Below are 15673 nucleotides of genomic sequence, written 5' to 3'. Positions count from 1 at the left end.
CGGAGGTTGGCAGTGAGCCGAGATTGCGCCACTGCACTCTAGCCTGGGCGACAAAGCAAGACTCCGTCTCAAAAAAACAAAAAAACAAAAAACAAAAAAACCCACATTTTTTAAATTTCATTTTTGTCTTGGCAAAAACTGAAATAAAGTCTTCTAGGACTGCTGAGAGGAAACCTGTTCATACCTGTGTACCTCCTACCACTTGGTTAGCATCCATGGGAATCTAATTAAAGTGGAAGTGGCCATTGTGCCCCTTGATAATTATGGAGAAGTATCTCCATGTGACATCTGAAAGACATATCCTAGGCCCACTCCCAGCTTCCTCACCCGCCCCGGTGACCCTGAAGGGAGAAATGTATAATAGGGGCTTCTCACACTGACCCTGATTTCCTCACACTCACAGTCCCTCTTCACCTGCCACCCCGGTGCAAAGGACAACACACCAAGGATAGATGGGAAGATCTCTGCCATATTTGGCACATGCCCAGTTCACTGACATACAAGAACCAAAGCGTCACTGAGGGCTTTCTGATATCCATGTATTCACATGGTTTTCCCTGGGAATGAATTCTCTGGTGCTGGGCCAGGAATCTGCTTTGGCGGAAGGCTTTGCCACACTCACAACACTCAAAAGGGCTTCTCTCCAGGGAATCCTCTCATGTAGTACAAGAGTTGTGGCCTCCTGGAAGGTTTTCTGACATATATGGCATATGAATGGCTTGGTACATGCATGCACATGCTGGTGCTGCGTGAGGTGTGTGCCACGGCTGAAAGGGTCGTTCCCCAGCGTGTACCTGGTAATACTCGGTGAGGTGTGACATCTGGATGCAGGACTTGCCACACTCATTCCACTTGTAGGGCTTCTCCCCATTGTGAGTCCTCTGATGGAGGGCGAGGGATGAGGTTTGCATGAAGGCTCTTCCACAGTCACCACACATGAAGGGCTTCTCTCCCATGCGGACTTGCTCATGCTGGGTGAGAAACTTGCTGTGGCTGAAAGTCTTCCCACATTTTCCACATGCATAAGGATGCTCGCCTGTGTGCACCCGCTGGTGTAGGACCAGGGCTGAGGAGTCACCGAATGGCTTCCTTTACTCACCACGTATGTACGGCTTCTCACCGCTGTGGATCTTGAGGTGCTGGGTCAGGTAGGACCCCTGGCTGAAGGCCTTTCCACATTCTGCACACACATAGGGCCACTCACCTGTGTGTACCTGCTGGTGCTTGCTGAGGGATGAGCTGTGGCTGAAAGCTTTCCCACATTCCTGACACGCATACAGCTTCTCTCCCGTGTGGCAGCGTATGTGCTCAGCCAGGGACAAGCTGGGGCTGAATGCCTTGCAGCATACCCGGCACTCGTAGGGCCTCTCACCCGTGTAGGTTCCGTGGCATGCAAGGAGGGCCGAGAAGTCAGCAAAGGCTTTGCTGCTCTTGGCAGGCAAATGGCTTTTCCCCGGTGTGGAATCACCAGTGCTGTACAAGGTGTGTGCTCTCGCTGAAGGTGCGTCCACACTCACCACACACGTATGGCTTCTCACCTGTGTGCACACGCTGGTGCTTGGCAAGGGATGAGCTCTCTCGGAAGCACTTGCCACAGTGGCCACACATGTAGGGCTTCTCGCCTGTGTGGACGTGCCAGTGCTTGACTAGAGATGAATTGTTGCTGAAGGTACACCCACATTCCTGGCATGCATACAGCTTCTCACTGGTGTGCTGAACAAGGTGACTTCTCTGTCCAAAGGCCTTGCCACACTCTTCGCACGTACAGGGTCTCCTTTTGTTGGGAATCTGCTGATAGCTCACAAGGCACGTGTTCTTGCCAAAGGTATCTTCCCACCCACTACATGGCAGTACACCCTCCCCAGCGTGGACTCCTTGTGGCTGATTAAGGTCTGGGAAACAGCTGCAGGCCTCCCCACATACACCCTCTCCTTGGCAGGAGCACCCCTGATCTAGGACGGAAACACACGTGAGATCGTTTTCCAGAATGTGGTTAGGGGTGGCTTGTGTCTCTGGGGGAGTGCCCTGATATTCAGTAACAAATGGATGCCAGCTGGAAATTCCTGCCAGGCTCCACTCTCGGCTCTTCATGCCACTGACTGACCATATCCCAGCTCTGGGCCTGTTTCCTAGTTTCCTCACTAAGCTGAGCACATGTACGTCTGTAAAAAATATACATGTATTTTTGAAAGCACAAAGTTTCACATCTCTGCCTGCCAGTCACTTACCAAACAACCTTTGGTTTAACTTTTCTGTGCCCCAGTTTCCCAACCTGTAAAAGAGGGTAATGATGATAGCTCCCCTTTGATTGGTTGAGAGTACCATCAAAGGTGTTTGCTGAGCAGCCTGACCTGCAGGAGGTGCTCAGGAAAGGGGAGCTGCTGCTGTCATTTGGTGGAAGTGGGTCCCCTTATTTGGCTAGCAGGGCCTGAACACTGCCACACTCCAACACATTGTCTCCACGTTAAGGAACTCAGCATCACACAGCAAGCCCTCGAGAAGCCCACAGCCAGAGGCAGTGTGGGGGCAGCAGCATAGATGGCTGTGGCTGCCTGTGGGGACCCAGCCTAGGTCCAGAGGAGGTACCCAGATGAGGTGGGGTGTCTGTGTGGACGGCTTTCTGTTTTAGAGGCAGGCGTCTGAGGCACAGCTCTTAAGCATCAAATCAGGAAGCCTCTTTCTGTGGAGCCCCAAGCCCAGTGACCCCCTTGCCTTCCTGGGAGTCAGGAGCAGAAGGAGGGTGTGCAAGTGGCATGGCTCTAGGCAGCAAAGATGCCATGAGGTGTTCGTGTTCTGTTTCACAGTCTTTCCACAGAGTGATGCCATTCCATCCTCCTGGGAGTCTGTCCCCATCATACTCACCATAACTCAAGGCATCTGCTAGCCAGATAAGGGGACCCACTTCCACCAAATGACAGCAGCAGCTCCCCTTTCCTGAGCACCTCCTGCAGGTCAGGCCACCCAGCAAACACCTTTGGTGGTACTCTCAACCAATCAAAGGGGAGGTATCATTACTCTCTTTTACAGGTTGGGAAACTGGGGCACAGAGAAGTTAAACCAAAGGTTGTTTGGTAAAGTGACTGGCAGGCGGGGACGTGAAACTTTGTGCTTTCAAAAATACATATACATGTTTTACAGAATTACAAGTGCTCAGCTTAGTGAATTTGGTAAATGCACAGCCCTGTGTAACTAGCATTCAAATTAAATTCTAGAATGTTCTGTGAGGATGGAAAAGTTCTGGAGTTGTGCTGTCCAATATGGCACCATCAGTGTCAGGTAGCTCCTGAGTACTGGAAACATAGCTGGTGTGACTGGGACATGGAACTTGTAATTTTATTTGAATTTAATCATAACTACCATATTGGACAGCGCAGGGCTAGGACATTTCAGCACCTTAGACAGCTCCCCTGTAGTAAGTAGCCCTTCCAGGAAAGGTGTCCCAGCCTAATTTTTTTTTTTTTTTTTTAAGACGTAGTTTTCCTCTTTTGTCCAGGCTGGGGTGAAATAGTGCAATCTTGGCTCATTGGAAGCTCTGCCCCCCGGATTCAAGCGCTTCTCCTGCCTCAGCCTCCCGAGTAGCTGGGATTATAGGCACCTGCCACCATGCCAGGATAATTTTTGTATTTTTAGTAGAGACAGGGTTTTGCCACGTCAGCCAGGCTGGTCTCGAATTCCTGACCTCAGGTGATCTACCCTCCTTGGCCTCCCAAAGTGCTAGGACTACAGGCATGAGCCACCGCGCCCAGCCCAGCCTCTTCTTGAACTTCATGAAAATTATGTGCCCTGTTATAGTCTGAGGCCTCAGCTCCATGCTATCAGGCTTCAAGGACAGCAGCCACAGGATACCTCTATGAGGACTATGTGAGAACAAAGTGAGATGTCAAGTGGGTGAGTGCTCTAAAGAGAAAAATTGATCATTCCTGCTGTACTGAATTCAGGTCCTAACAGAGACTCCCAGGAGGAAGGGCAGATGTGGGGCCTTTTGTTCCTTCCCACGAGACAAGAGTACTGAACAGACTATTTGGGCCCTGATTTGCCCATTACCCACACCTTCCTCCCCATCTTATTCCTAAGCTGAGAATGGCAAGTATGATGGTAGAGGCTGTCAGATCTAGGATCAAATCTTCACCACTCTCTGCTGTAATTCTGGGCTGCTCACCTCCCTTGGGGTCTGTTTCCTATCTATAAAATGGAACCTCCTGTGAAAAGCTTTTTGCTCATTAAGGAATGAATTACATTTAACAAAGTTTTGGATTTTATTAATAAAATGTATGGACATGTTTTTCTCTTGTTAGATAGGTACCTTTGTAACATTCTTGGTTTTCTCTCTGAGCCTACAAAGCTGACATTTGCTGCTTGTGTGTTTTTTGTTTGGTTTTTGAGACAGAGTTTCGCTCGTTGCCCAGGCTGGAGTGCAAAGGCACGATCTTGGCTCACCACAATCTCTATGTCCTGGGAACAAGCGATTCACCTGCCTCAGCCTCCCGAGTAGCTGGGATTACAGGCATGCATCACCACGCCCAGCTAATTTTTTGTATTTTTAGTAGAGACAGGGTTTCACCATGTTGGCCAGGCTGGTCTCATAGGCCCAACCTCAGGCCTGCCTCAGCCTCCCAAAATGCTGGGATTACAGGCATGAGCCACTGCGCCCAGCCTGCTGCTTGTGTTTTACAGAAGAGTTTGCCAACCATACTCTGATGGCCTGGGCAGTGATGGAGGGTTTAAAGAGAGGGGTGGCCTCATCAGTCAGGGGTAAAAGACCCTCTCTACCCAATGCTGAGTGGAGAGTGATGAAGGGGGCAACGGGAGGCAGGAGAACCATGAGGAGGTAGTGGTGTAGAGCAGGCTGAGGAAGGCAGGGCAGTGGAATGAAGGCAGCAGAAGCAGGGTGTGTTTTAGAGGGATATCTGGTTTCTGAAAACATCTAGCCCTGTACCTGCCTCCTGTGCCACTGTGACTGCCACCCCACCATCTACCTCACTCGGCACCTCAGGCTCCATCACCTCACCCTCTCTCTGTCTCCACATTGCTTGGCCTCAGCAGCTACAGGGTAGGGGGCACCCGAGGTCTCAGTCCTGGGCAGAGGTCCCAGGTTGCTAGTGACTCTTGCAGAGACAGGTTTGTTTCCAGGGCCACTGCCGCCTTCTCTTTGATCCTACACATCAGTGTGGCTCTAGGCTCCTGGCTTTGACTTCAGGGGCCCAGGCCTGGGATTCTGGAAAATGAAGTATGGCTAATGAGCACAGGCAGCAAGGAGTGGGTGTGGTCATGGCCATGCATACAGGCACTCCTCGGACAAACAGATACACCCAGGCCAGGCTCTTCACAAGCCTAGGTCCCACCCATGGCCTCCCCTTCCCAAATTAAAAATATACATCCACACAAACACCTGTACATGAATTTTCACAGCAGTAGCATTTATAATATCAGAGAGTTGGAAACAACCCCAATGTCTATGAACTAATGAGTAAACAAACTGTGGTATATCCATACAATGCAGTATTATTCAGCCATAAAGAGGAATGAAAAACTGATACATGCTACAACATGGATGAACTCTGAAAACGTTCAGTGGTAAAAAGCCAGACACAAGAAACCACATATTGTATGACTCCATTTATATGAAGTGTCCAGAAGAGGCAAATCTAGACATATAACGTGGATTAGTGGTTGCCAGAGGCTGGAGGAAGAGCGAATAGGCAGTGATGATAAGGGGTATGAGGGATACTCACACACCTGAGGTCACACCTGCACATACAGGTGGCATCAACACATGCAGGACTGTCGCGGTTGCTTCTGGACCGAACGAAGGACGACGAATGCAGAAATGAGACAGACAAAAGGATCTGTTTGAAAGAAGGGGTCAGGGGGCTCCTTGATATTAGGGAACAGGGACCTGAGCTTTTACAGCCCTTCATATTTATTAGGTAGAGTGAATAGGGAGGAAGGGATAACTGTCGGTCAGCTATTTGATTTAACACAGGCCCACATGATTCCTTTCTTTGTTCAACAGGTTCTGGATGTTCCTGTGGATAACCTCAAGGAGCACGGGACCTGGGACATGACTGCCCCCAGCATTCCTTCTGGCGGCAGACAGAGTTTGTCAGTTCGCCAACATCCTGCTTTCATGAGAACAGTTTGCTGTTTGCTCACAGAGCCTCCAGTGGTATACTGAGTTGGTCACGACCCTCATTCCTTCGGCCTCCAACATCTCCCCTTTTGTTTTTGCATTAATTGAATAAAGGTAATTTCAGGCTGTGCAGCTTTCAATTGCCGGTTGGTGGTTCACCCGATCCTATAGACTATGAGCAAAAAAACAGAGACATAACAACATTATTCTTGTAATTATTATAAAAGAGACATTGAAGTTATGTTTAAGGTAGGTCCAAGGGTTGAGGCTTTTTTTTTTTTTTTTTTTTTTTTGAGATGGAGTCTCGCTCTGTCACCCAGGCTGGAGTGCAGTGGCGCCATCTTGGCTCACTGCAAGCTCTGCCTCCCGGGTTCACGTCATTCTCCCACCTCAGCCTCCTGATTAGCTGGGACTACAGGTGCCCGCCACCACACCCAGCTAATTTTTTTGTATTTTTAGTAGAGATGGGGTTTCACTGTTTTAGCCAGGATGGTCTCGATCTTCTGACCTCGTGATCTGCCTGCCTCGGCCTCCCAAAGTGCTGGGATTATAGGCGTGAGCCACCGCACCCGGCCAGGGTTGAGGCTTTCTAAGCCCTGCTGGAATTCTGTTTAAGCTTCTAAAAAGGGCTGTTATTTTTGAGTTTGCTTATTCAAGTTAAGAATTTTACTCTGTAAGTTACTGATATCAAAAGTAATATTGGATGTAAAAGCTCCCTGCAAATGAGCTTTTACAAGGTTCCATGGATATTCACTTTGGTTCTATTCCAAATTGGTCACACAAATATGAATATGATTGAAATGACAGTGCAATTGCTGCTACAATTGCAAACTTTGTACCTGCTTTCCCAGCCACAGAACAGTAGCCTTTAACATTGCTACCTTTGTTTGTAATTCGGTATTAATTTTATTTTGAAGCATCCATGCCTGGTTGGCTGTACATGTCCAATTTTCTACATATTGGGCTGTTTGAATAGAACTATGTAGTGCTACTGAGGACACTACAACCGAGGTTATTAGTGTGACTAAGGAGATTACAGTAAAAATTACTATGTTTAAGGCTTTACGTGCACGATGAGTGAGCTGGGTAAGAAGGAGTTTTACAAAATGTAAAGCAGGGGTGGCAGCCCAAGGTTTGCACAAATTGACAGGGATCCATAATCCAGGGATACGACCCAGAATTATTAGAGTGGATATGTTGTGTGTTTGTATTGTGCTATGATTGAGGCAGTGATACAGTTGACAAGAGTCACAAGTCAACTGGGTGATGTTTACGTGGAGTTGGTCCTTCTTAGATGCTAGAAAAACATAGGGATTAAAAACACAAACTGGCCGGGCATGGTGGCTCACGCCTGTAATCCCAGCACTTTGGGAAGCCAAGGCGGGTGGATCACGAGGTCAGGAATTCAAGAGCAGCCTGGCCAAGAAGGTGAAATCCCGTTTCTATTAAAAATACAAAAAACAAAAAATAGCCTGGCACGGTGGCGGGTGCCTGTAATCCCAGCTACTCGGGAGGCTGAGGCAGACAATTGCTTGAACCCGGGAGGCAAAGGTTGCAGTGACCCGAGATTGCGCCACTGCACTCCAGCCTGGGCGACAGAGTGAGACTCCATCTCAAACAGTTAACAACAACAACAAAAAACCCACAAACCGTAAATTGAGTGGTAATATTTTTTACAAAGGTGATATTAAAACTGTGTTGAGTAATATTACTATTGTTGGATAATGTTCTGACCCAGATGCTGTTATTCATAAATGGGAGTGTTGCCTTCCATATCGATTCCTGAATTGGGCCTCTGTTTCCTAGATGACGTCACTGAGGTAAGGGCGGGTTAAAGCCTGTCCTATACCAAGCAAGTTGTGCAGCCAACTGGGGGACTGAATCCCAGTGTGATGTGATGAAGAGGTGTTGAAGGTCCACCACCAGTGCCAGTGAAGTTTGTGCCAAGAGGTCTGATTTTCATCTCTCCCCTCTAAATGGCCACGGGGACCCCAGTCAATGTTTCCCATTAACATAGACTGTTGTCTGGCCAAGGGGCCAAGACACTGGGTCCAAGGAGGGGGGTGAGAAATATCAAAGGGAGCCCATTCCATATAATCCATACAATTTGAGTGATGGGGCTAGGAGTGATTGGTGAACACGCCAGTAACATTAATAAAGCTGAGGCCTAATAAATACATAATTTTTCCATGGTGACTTAACCATGCCTGAGATTGGACTGCAAGACAGCTGCAGTTGAGTGACGTATCCATGGTGATACATAAAGGGAGTCCTTCCAATGGGCCGGTGTAATTGATGCTATTGCTCTGTGTCAGACGGAGTTAGGGGTCCTGGTGCCCACGCTCCCTGATCATAATATATCTCAGGAGGAGTGTCGCTCCAGAGTACCAGTCGTACTACCAGTGGGTTAGGAACATATGCCCAATATGTTTTTGCCTCTACACAGGGGAAACATACCGCACAGGACACTACAGCTAGCATGGCCAAGAACATGGAGTCAGGGGTTTTTGCCTGACCCTGGCGCTCCAGTAGTTTCTCAGCTTCTTGTGTCGTTTTCTTGATCTGTCCCCATGTTATGGGGTTGGATGTCATTGTGACTCCGGTCGGCCCTTGTTCTGTCTTTGCATTCAGATTCCGCTGGCTCATGGCTCGTACTGGAGGTAACAGGCCCACGGTTGAATACCATGGATCCCTCCGGTCTCCCGTTCCATGGTCACACACACCTGGAGGGCACCCACACGGTTTGTCCATCTCCTGTAAAAACACAAGCATACCCTCGTCCCCACGTCAGCAAATCCACCGGACCTTTCCATTGTCCTTCTTCTGGGGATTTCCATAACACTTTTGGATAAACTTGCCTCTTTTCCTCTAGCAGTTGCCAGTGTCGTTCTGCTGGGGTCTTGCCATCCGTACCAGGAGTCAAACAATTTAAAGTAAACAAGGCTAAATGTAATTTTGTTTGAAGTGGTAATTGGTCCCCTATTCTCCCTTTTTGTTTTTTCAGCATGCGTTGTAGTGTTTGATGTACCCGCTCAATAATGCCTGGCCCTCAGGGATTGTATGGAATTCCTGTTTTATGATTGATTGCCCACAATTGTAAAAAATTGGGAAAGCATGACTAACATAAGCGAGTCCACTGTCAGTTTTAAATTGTTTAGGGACCCCCATATGGGCAAATGACGACAGACAGTATCGTCAGACATGACCAGCTGTTTCCCCAGTTTGGCATGTGGCATGTAACATATGGGAGTAAGTGTCTATATTACATGAACATAGCGGAGTTAGCCAAAGGCTGCTATATATATGTAACATCCATCTGCCAGATTTCATTTGGAGCCAAGCCTCGTGGGTTGCATCCTTCCACAGGTGCAACACCAGGGACATGCTGGCAAGTGGGGCAGGCTTGCACAATAACTCAAGCCTGGCTGCGAGGCAGATGAAACATACGAGTAAGGGCAAGTTGTTCTGATGCAGTAAAGCATGGGAAGCTTGGGCTTGTTGAAATATAGAACTGATGAATTTATCTGCTCTATCATTACCTAGAGATAGTGGCCCCAGGAAGTTGTGTGTGAGATCGGATATGAGAAATATGAAAAGGGGCAGCATGAGAGCGAACAGCTTTTTGGAGTCTCAGAAATAGGTTAAGCAGTTCTGGTTTTAAGGTGCTCTTGTGTGGGCGGCAAGCCATCCAGGCGCCGAAGCAAGAGACAGAGGACACGGGCTGTTCCAGTATAATAAAATATAAAACAAGAATAGTTATACCAGATATAGATCTTAGATATGATTATATATGAATATCATTAATCATTAGTTTGTAGCAATTACTTTTTATTCCAATATTACAATAATCCTTGCTCTATAATCATAGCCTAGGAAAAACCAGGCCATACAGAGATAGGAGCTGAGGGGACATAGTGAGGTGTGACCAGAAGACAAGAGTGCGAGCCTTCTGTTATGCCCAGACAGGGCCACCAGAGGGCTCCTTGGTCTAGTGGTGACGCCAGCGTTTGGGAAGACCGTGGTCTAGCGGTAGCGAAAAGTGTCAAGGAACAACACCCGCTACTTAGCAGACCGGGAAAGGGTGGGGGGCGGTCTCCCTTTCCCTGGGGGAGGTTAGAGAAGACTCTGCTCCTCCACCTCTTGTGGAGGGCCTGACATTAGTCAGGCTCGCCCACAGTTATCCGGAGGCCTAACCGTCTCCCTGTGATTCTGTGCTTCAGTGGTCACGCTCCTAGTCCGCCTTCATGTTCCATCCTGTACACCTGGCTCTGCCTTCTAGATAGCAGTAGTAAATTAGTGAAAGTACTAATAGTCCCTGATATGCAGAAATAATGGCGTAAGCTGTCTTTCTCTCTGTCTCCTCTCCCTCTCTGCCTCGGCTGCCAGGCAGGGAAGGGCCCCCTGACCAGTGGACACATGACCCACGTGACCTTACCTATCATTGGAGATGACTCACACTCTTTACCCTGCCCCTTTTGCTTTGTATCCAATAAATAAGAGCGCAGCCAGACATTCGGGGCCACTACCGGTCTCCGCGCATTGGTGGTAGTGGTCCCCCAGGCCCAGCTGCCTTTTATCTCTTTGTCTTGTGTCTTTATTTCTACACTCTCTCGTCGCCGCACACAGGGAGAGACCCACCGACCCTGTGGGGCTGGTCCGTACACTCTTGATAGTGGCAGTTTTAATGCAACTAGCTACATTTACGACATAGGCTGAATTACAGACAATATTAATAGGAAATAAAGCTGTGAGCTTTAAAACTTGAATAACTGCCATTAATTCAGAGTGTTGAGCTGAAACTCTAGGGGTCTTTATTATTTAAGTATATTTAGGTCCATAAATGGCTGTGTGGCTTTTGGAAGAGCCATCGGTAAAATAGGTCTGTCCACCTGAAATGGGTTTGTGATGAGCAATCACAGGGGGAATAAAAGGGTGAATTTTATAAAACTGCAAAATTTTGTCTGATGGATAATGGTTATCTATTATTTCTACAAAATCTGCGAAAGTGATTTGCCATGCAGTGGACATCTCCCAGGCCGCAGCCTGTTGTTGGGAATCCAAGGTAACAATAATTTTATCAGGATCATATCCTGTAAGCATTTTTGATCTATGCCTGCCTATTGTTATAAGTTGTGTGACTAAAGCAAGATAAACTTGCAAAGATTTTACTGTTTGACTGGATAAAAAAAGCCATTCTATTACCATTATAGTTTTGTCTATGAATTGAGCTAAAAGTCCTGATGGAGAATGGGGGGTAGGAAGAATAAACAAAACCAAAGACTTTTGTGGTTGTAGCCAGGAGGCATGTCGTTGCTGAAGCATCTTTCTACAAGCTGTAATTCAGCTTCTGCCTCCTTAGTAAGTTGCCGAGGGGAATCTAATGAAGAATCTCCTTGGAGGGTTTGATAAACATGAGTGAGTTGATAAGAAGCAATACCTAGCATTGGGCGCAGCCAATTAATATCCCCTAAGTTATTCAGAGTTTGTAATTTGTTCTTACGAAGAGCTACTTTCTGAGGCTGAATACTTTTTTCAGTAACAGTAGTATCTAAGTATTGGTATGAGGAGGTTGTTTGTACCTTTTCAGGAGCTATTTTGAGATTCCATTTAGTTAAAGCCCATTTTATTTCTCTGAATAACTGGTATAATACTTGATCTGTAGGAGTGGCCAAAACAATATTATCCATATAATGAATGATGTAGGTGGTGGAAAACATATTCCGAGGCTCCTTCAATGCTTTTCCTACAAAATGCTGACATAACGTAGGACTGTTGAGCATGCCTGGGGTAATAAAACTTTTCATTGATCACAAGAGACAGGCTCTCTCTGATTAATAGAAGGCACAGAGAAGGCGAATTGAGGCTTGTCCTTCTTGTGTAATGGTATAGTGAAAAAACAGTCTTTAAGATCTATTACTACAAGAGGCTAATCTCTTGGAATGGTTGCCGGGGATGGCAGACCTTGCTGTAATGCACCCACTGGTTTAATTTGTGCATTAACAGCTCTCAAATTATGCAGCAGTTGCCATTTTCCTGACGTTTTGGGGGTCACAAATACTGGTGAATTCCAAGCACTAACTGATACTTTTATATGTCCTGCATCCAATTGCTTTCTTACCAGCTGATGGAGTTGAGTCAGTTTTCTCCTGTGATAGGGGCCATTGATCCACCCACACAGGTTTATCAGTCAGCCACTCTAGCAGCAAGGCAGTGGGTGGAGAAGAAGTATCAATGACCCCTATCAGAAATCCTGATGACCTAGCCCTTTCCTATCTGTTTGCCCAGTTACCGATACCGGACCGGGGTTTCCCTGTAGGAACTTTCCCAAGCCTTTCCCACTCTGATATCCCATTTCCTTCAATATTTTAAATCCTGGATTATCAACCTTTTCATTTGTAAGTCTCACATCCCATGCTGTAAGTAAATCTCAGCCCCAGAGATTAACACGTATATTTGCAACATAAGGTTGAAAAGTACATGGCTGTCCATCTGGACTGACACAAAGTAAAATTTCAGCACTCTGTTAAACACTTTGAGCTGTTCCTACTCCCACTAAGGATGCAGAGGTTAGTAGCAGGGGCCAATTGTTTTTGGATATTACTGAAACATCTGCTCCTGTGTCCATACACCCACAACACTTCTTTCCTTTAATTTGCACTGCACAGGTGGGTCAATTAGAAGCTATGGGTTGGGATAGGTAAATTTCCTGTGTAGTTGTACTCCCAAATTCTTGATTTCCTCTTTTCTCCTTTCGTGAAGAAGGGTGTAATTTGCAGAGAATAATAATAAGCAATAGCTGAGCAATATATTTCCCAGGTTTAAAAACCCAAAGATCTTGTGACATTACAATTACTTGAATTTCTCCTTCATAATCAGAGTCAACAATCCAGGGATCACAGTAATGCCCTGTAAGTTCAGATGGCTTTGGCCTAAAATTAATCCTGTATATCCTGTTGGCAAAGGTTCCCAAATGCCTGTGGGAATTCTGGTGGGTTTGTCTCCTCCAACTAACGTGACCCATTCTCTGACTGAGCGATCTAATCCTGCACTCCCCGGTGTTCCAGAGGAGAGGGAGTCAATGTTCCTCCAGGAACCCACCCCTGTAGCAGGGTTGTGGCCTGGATGGGGAATGCCCTCATTGTTTGAGGGGCCCAGGCCCCATTCTCATTTCCTGAGAGCGGGGTGCCATTCTGATGAAATTTTGAGCAACACTGATTAGCCCAATGATTTCCTTTATTACGGCGAGGGCAAAGTCCTGGTGTTTTTTTTTCTGTGTGTGTGTGTTGGGGGGAGCGGGGCGGGGAGGGGGGGGCGGTATTGCATTGTAAGATCCCTTCTGCCCAGAGGTCTGATGGTATTCTTTTTTGAAATGTCCAATTTTTCCACAATTATAACATTTTCCCACTTTAGGGCTCAACCCTTGGCCCTTTTCAGATTTGTTCACTACTAAATTAGCTATTACTTGAGCTAACACAGTTGAACGATGGAGTTCAGTTCCCACATCCTGACAGGCTTTGAGAAAATTTCCCAAGCTGTTTGTACATCTCACGGGTGCTAATGCACATTTACAATCTGCATTTGCATTTTCAAAAGCTAGGGTCAAAGTAAGCATTTTCGCAGGAGCAGTATGAGGAATCTGATGCCTCACTGACTGTTGTAACTGTGCAATAAATTGTGCAAAGGGCTCCTGTGATTTTTGCATGATATGCGGAAAAGATTTTATTGAGACCCCTTTCTCAGGAATGGTGGCCCAGGCACGCTTAGCGGCCAGGCGCACTGATGGTAAGCAGCATCTGGAAGTGTCAATTGTTGCACCAGATCTGAATAAGAGTCACTACCCAATAGCATTTCCTCTGTAATGTTCCCATGTCCAGCGGTGAGATTCTGTCTAGCCTGGTCTGCACACATTTCTTGCCAATTTAAATTCCATGTCAAATATGCACTAGCAGAGAAACAAGTGCAAGCTAAATGCTTTATATCCAAGGGTGGGAGGCGCATAGTGCTGAATACAGATTCTAACAATCCTAAAGTAAATGGGCTCTGTATTCCATTATTAACCACACTAGCTTTTAATTCTTTCAATAATTTAAATTTTACTGGAGTGTGTTCATGAATAAACTGCTGTGGATTATTTGGATCAGGCCTTAAGGTAATAGGAAAAGTGCAAGGTCCTAGTGGCTCGCCAGCTATGGCCACAGCATGTAGAATTTTTTGTACTGGGGTCTCTATTTCTGCTACTGGAGGGGACAGTACAGGCCAGTTCTCATCCTCCCTCTCCTGTTTATCATTTTCAATGGGCGCTGCTGGTGAGACAAAAGATTCTTTCAATTTTTGAGATTCAGAACATAGCACCTGCTGTCTGGCAGAATAAGAAGAGGACAATGGCAGGAGGACAGTACAGACCAAACCCCAAGCAGAGAAAATAGAAGGATCCACTTTAAGAACTTTCTGATGAGCTCGTTTCAATCTTTCTCCTACTCAGTCTCAATTTTCCACAGCAAGAGTACCTGTCTGCAGAAACCATGGGTTATGTGTAATAACCTCCTGCAGAAGCTTAATGTTTGAGAACTAACCCGAGCACCAGATTGTTTAAGTAAAACTTTAAGCAGCTGCACATAATGTTGCTCCTCAACAGACAGATTCTGCCCCATGTTACCCTGATTCAGAAACCTCCCGCTCCCGATACCTTCTCAGGGAACTGACCTTATATTCTCCGCCGGCAGACTCTCCCGTCCAGGGGTTCGTAGTTCGTCTGATCAGTTTCACTTTCTCTGCTCTGGCAGACCTTCCTCGTTCAGGTCCCTGGTCGGGCACCACTTGTCACGGTTGCTTCTGGACCAAACGAAGGAGAACGAAGGCAGAAATGAAGACAAAGACAAAAGGATCTGTTTGAAAGAAGGGGTCAGGGGGCTCCTAGATTCTAGGGAACAGGGCCCTGAGCTTTTACAGCCCTTCATATTTGTTAGGTAGACTGAATAGGGAGGAAAGGGTAACTGACGGTCAGCTATTTGATTTAACACAGGCCCACATGACTGCTTTCTTTGTTCAGCAGGTTCCAGATGTTCCTGTAGATAACCTCAAGGAGCAGGGGACCTGGGACATGACTGCCCCCAGCATTCCTTCTGGCGGCAGACGCAGTTTGTCAGTTTACCAACATCCTGCTTTCATGAGAACAGTTTGCGGTTTGCTCATAGAGCCTCCAGTGGTATAATGAGTTGGTCACGACCCTCATTCCTTCTGCCTCCAACACAGAATGCTCCCCTCCCACGGGCGCATAAGCGGTGACACCCGGCAGGACATGGCAGGTCGCGCCCTCACGCACCGCGCGCCTCTCTGCCCGCGCCGACCCGGGGTCGCGTTCCCCTCACAGGTCCCACCCGTCCACTCATTCACTCCCACCATCAGCACACTTAGGCCACGGGCGCCTCTCCATCCCTCACAATCACCCTCGCCTCTCCTCCACACACCACTCACCACTGTGGCAGCCTCCTCAGAGAGCCTAGCCGCCCGATAGTCCGCGCGCCCGTGAGCGTCTTACACACT

The 15673-nt window shown here is 47.2% G+C and overlaps 1 protein-coding gene, 2 long non-coding RNA genes and 1 pseudogene across 3 annotated transcripts in view, besides 2 other annotated features; 1 reads left to right on the top strand and 3 right to left on the bottom strand.

The window, feature by feature from the left end:
* Positions 1-6100, top strand: part of LOC105372480 (uncharacterized) — a 12299-nt gene extending 6199 nt beyond the window's left edge. The window contains exon 3 of the long non-coding RNA NR_144444.1: positions 6014-6100. This is a non-coding gene — a long non-coding RNA (uncharacterized LOC105372480). The remainder of the gene's footprint in view (positions 1-6013) is intronic.
* LOC100887072 (zinc finger protein 470 pseudogene) lies at positions 561-1773 on the bottom strand (annotated as a pseudogene).
* Positions 4238-15673, bottom strand: ERVK3-1 (endogenous retrovirus group K3 member 1). Its single transcript, NM_001396080.1, has 4 exons — positions 15605-15673; positions 14834-14962; positions 8588-8884; positions 4238-6302 (listed from the first exon to the last, which is right to left on the bottom strand). The coding sequence occupies exons 3-4, from the start codon at positions 8879-8881 to the stop codon at positions 6267-6269; spliced, it is 330 nt and encodes a 109-aa protein (NP_001383009.1). The 5' UTR covers positions 8882-8884; positions 14834-14962; positions 15605-15673; the 3' UTR covers positions 4238-6266.
* The window catches only part of ZNF8-ERVK3-1 (ZNF8-ERVK3-1 readthrough (NMD candidate)), a 36692-nt gene continuing 26411 nt past the window's right edge, over positions 5393-15673 (bottom strand). Inside the window, exons 5-7 of the long non-coding RNA NR_144447.1 lie at positions 14834-14962; positions 8588-8884; positions 5393-6302 (exon numbers count right to left, since the gene is read on the bottom strand). This is a non-coding gene — a long non-coding RNA (ZNF8-ERVK3-1 readthrough (NMD candidate)). The remainder of the gene's footprint in view (positions 6303-8587; positions 8885-14833; positions 14963-15673) is intronic.
* Positions 10053-10347: a silencer, noted in NCBI's record as "tiled region #7439; HepG2 Repressive non-DNase unmatched - State 12:CtcfO". NCBI's record gives its function as "represses a minimal TATA promoter and a strong SV40 promoter by Sharpr-MPRA in HepG2 cells {active_cell/tissue: HepG2}" and the evidence as "EXISTENCE:reporter gene assay evidence [ECO:0000049][PMID:27701403]".
* Positions 14967-15467: an enhancer, noted in NCBI's record as "H3K27ac hESC enhancer chr19:58816949-58817449 (GRCh37/hg19 assembly coordinates)". NCBI's record gives its function as "activates a minimal SCP1, AML or CMV promoter by ChIP-STARR-seq in naive and primed H9 embryonic stem cells {active_cell/tissue: H9 hESC(naive and primed)}" and the evidence as "EXISTENCE:reporter gene assay evidence [ECO:0000049][PMID:30033119]".

This window comes from Homo sapiens, chromosome 19, assembly GCF_000001405.40.
Source record: "Homo sapiens chromosome 19, GRCh38.p14 Primary Assembly".
Classification (NCBI taxonomy): domain Eukaryota; kingdom Metazoa; phylum Chordata; class Mammalia; order Primates; family Hominidae; genus Homo; species Homo sapiens.
The sequence above is the reverse complement of the archived record's forward strand: the minus strand, read 5'-3'. Positions and strand labels throughout refer to the sequence as shown.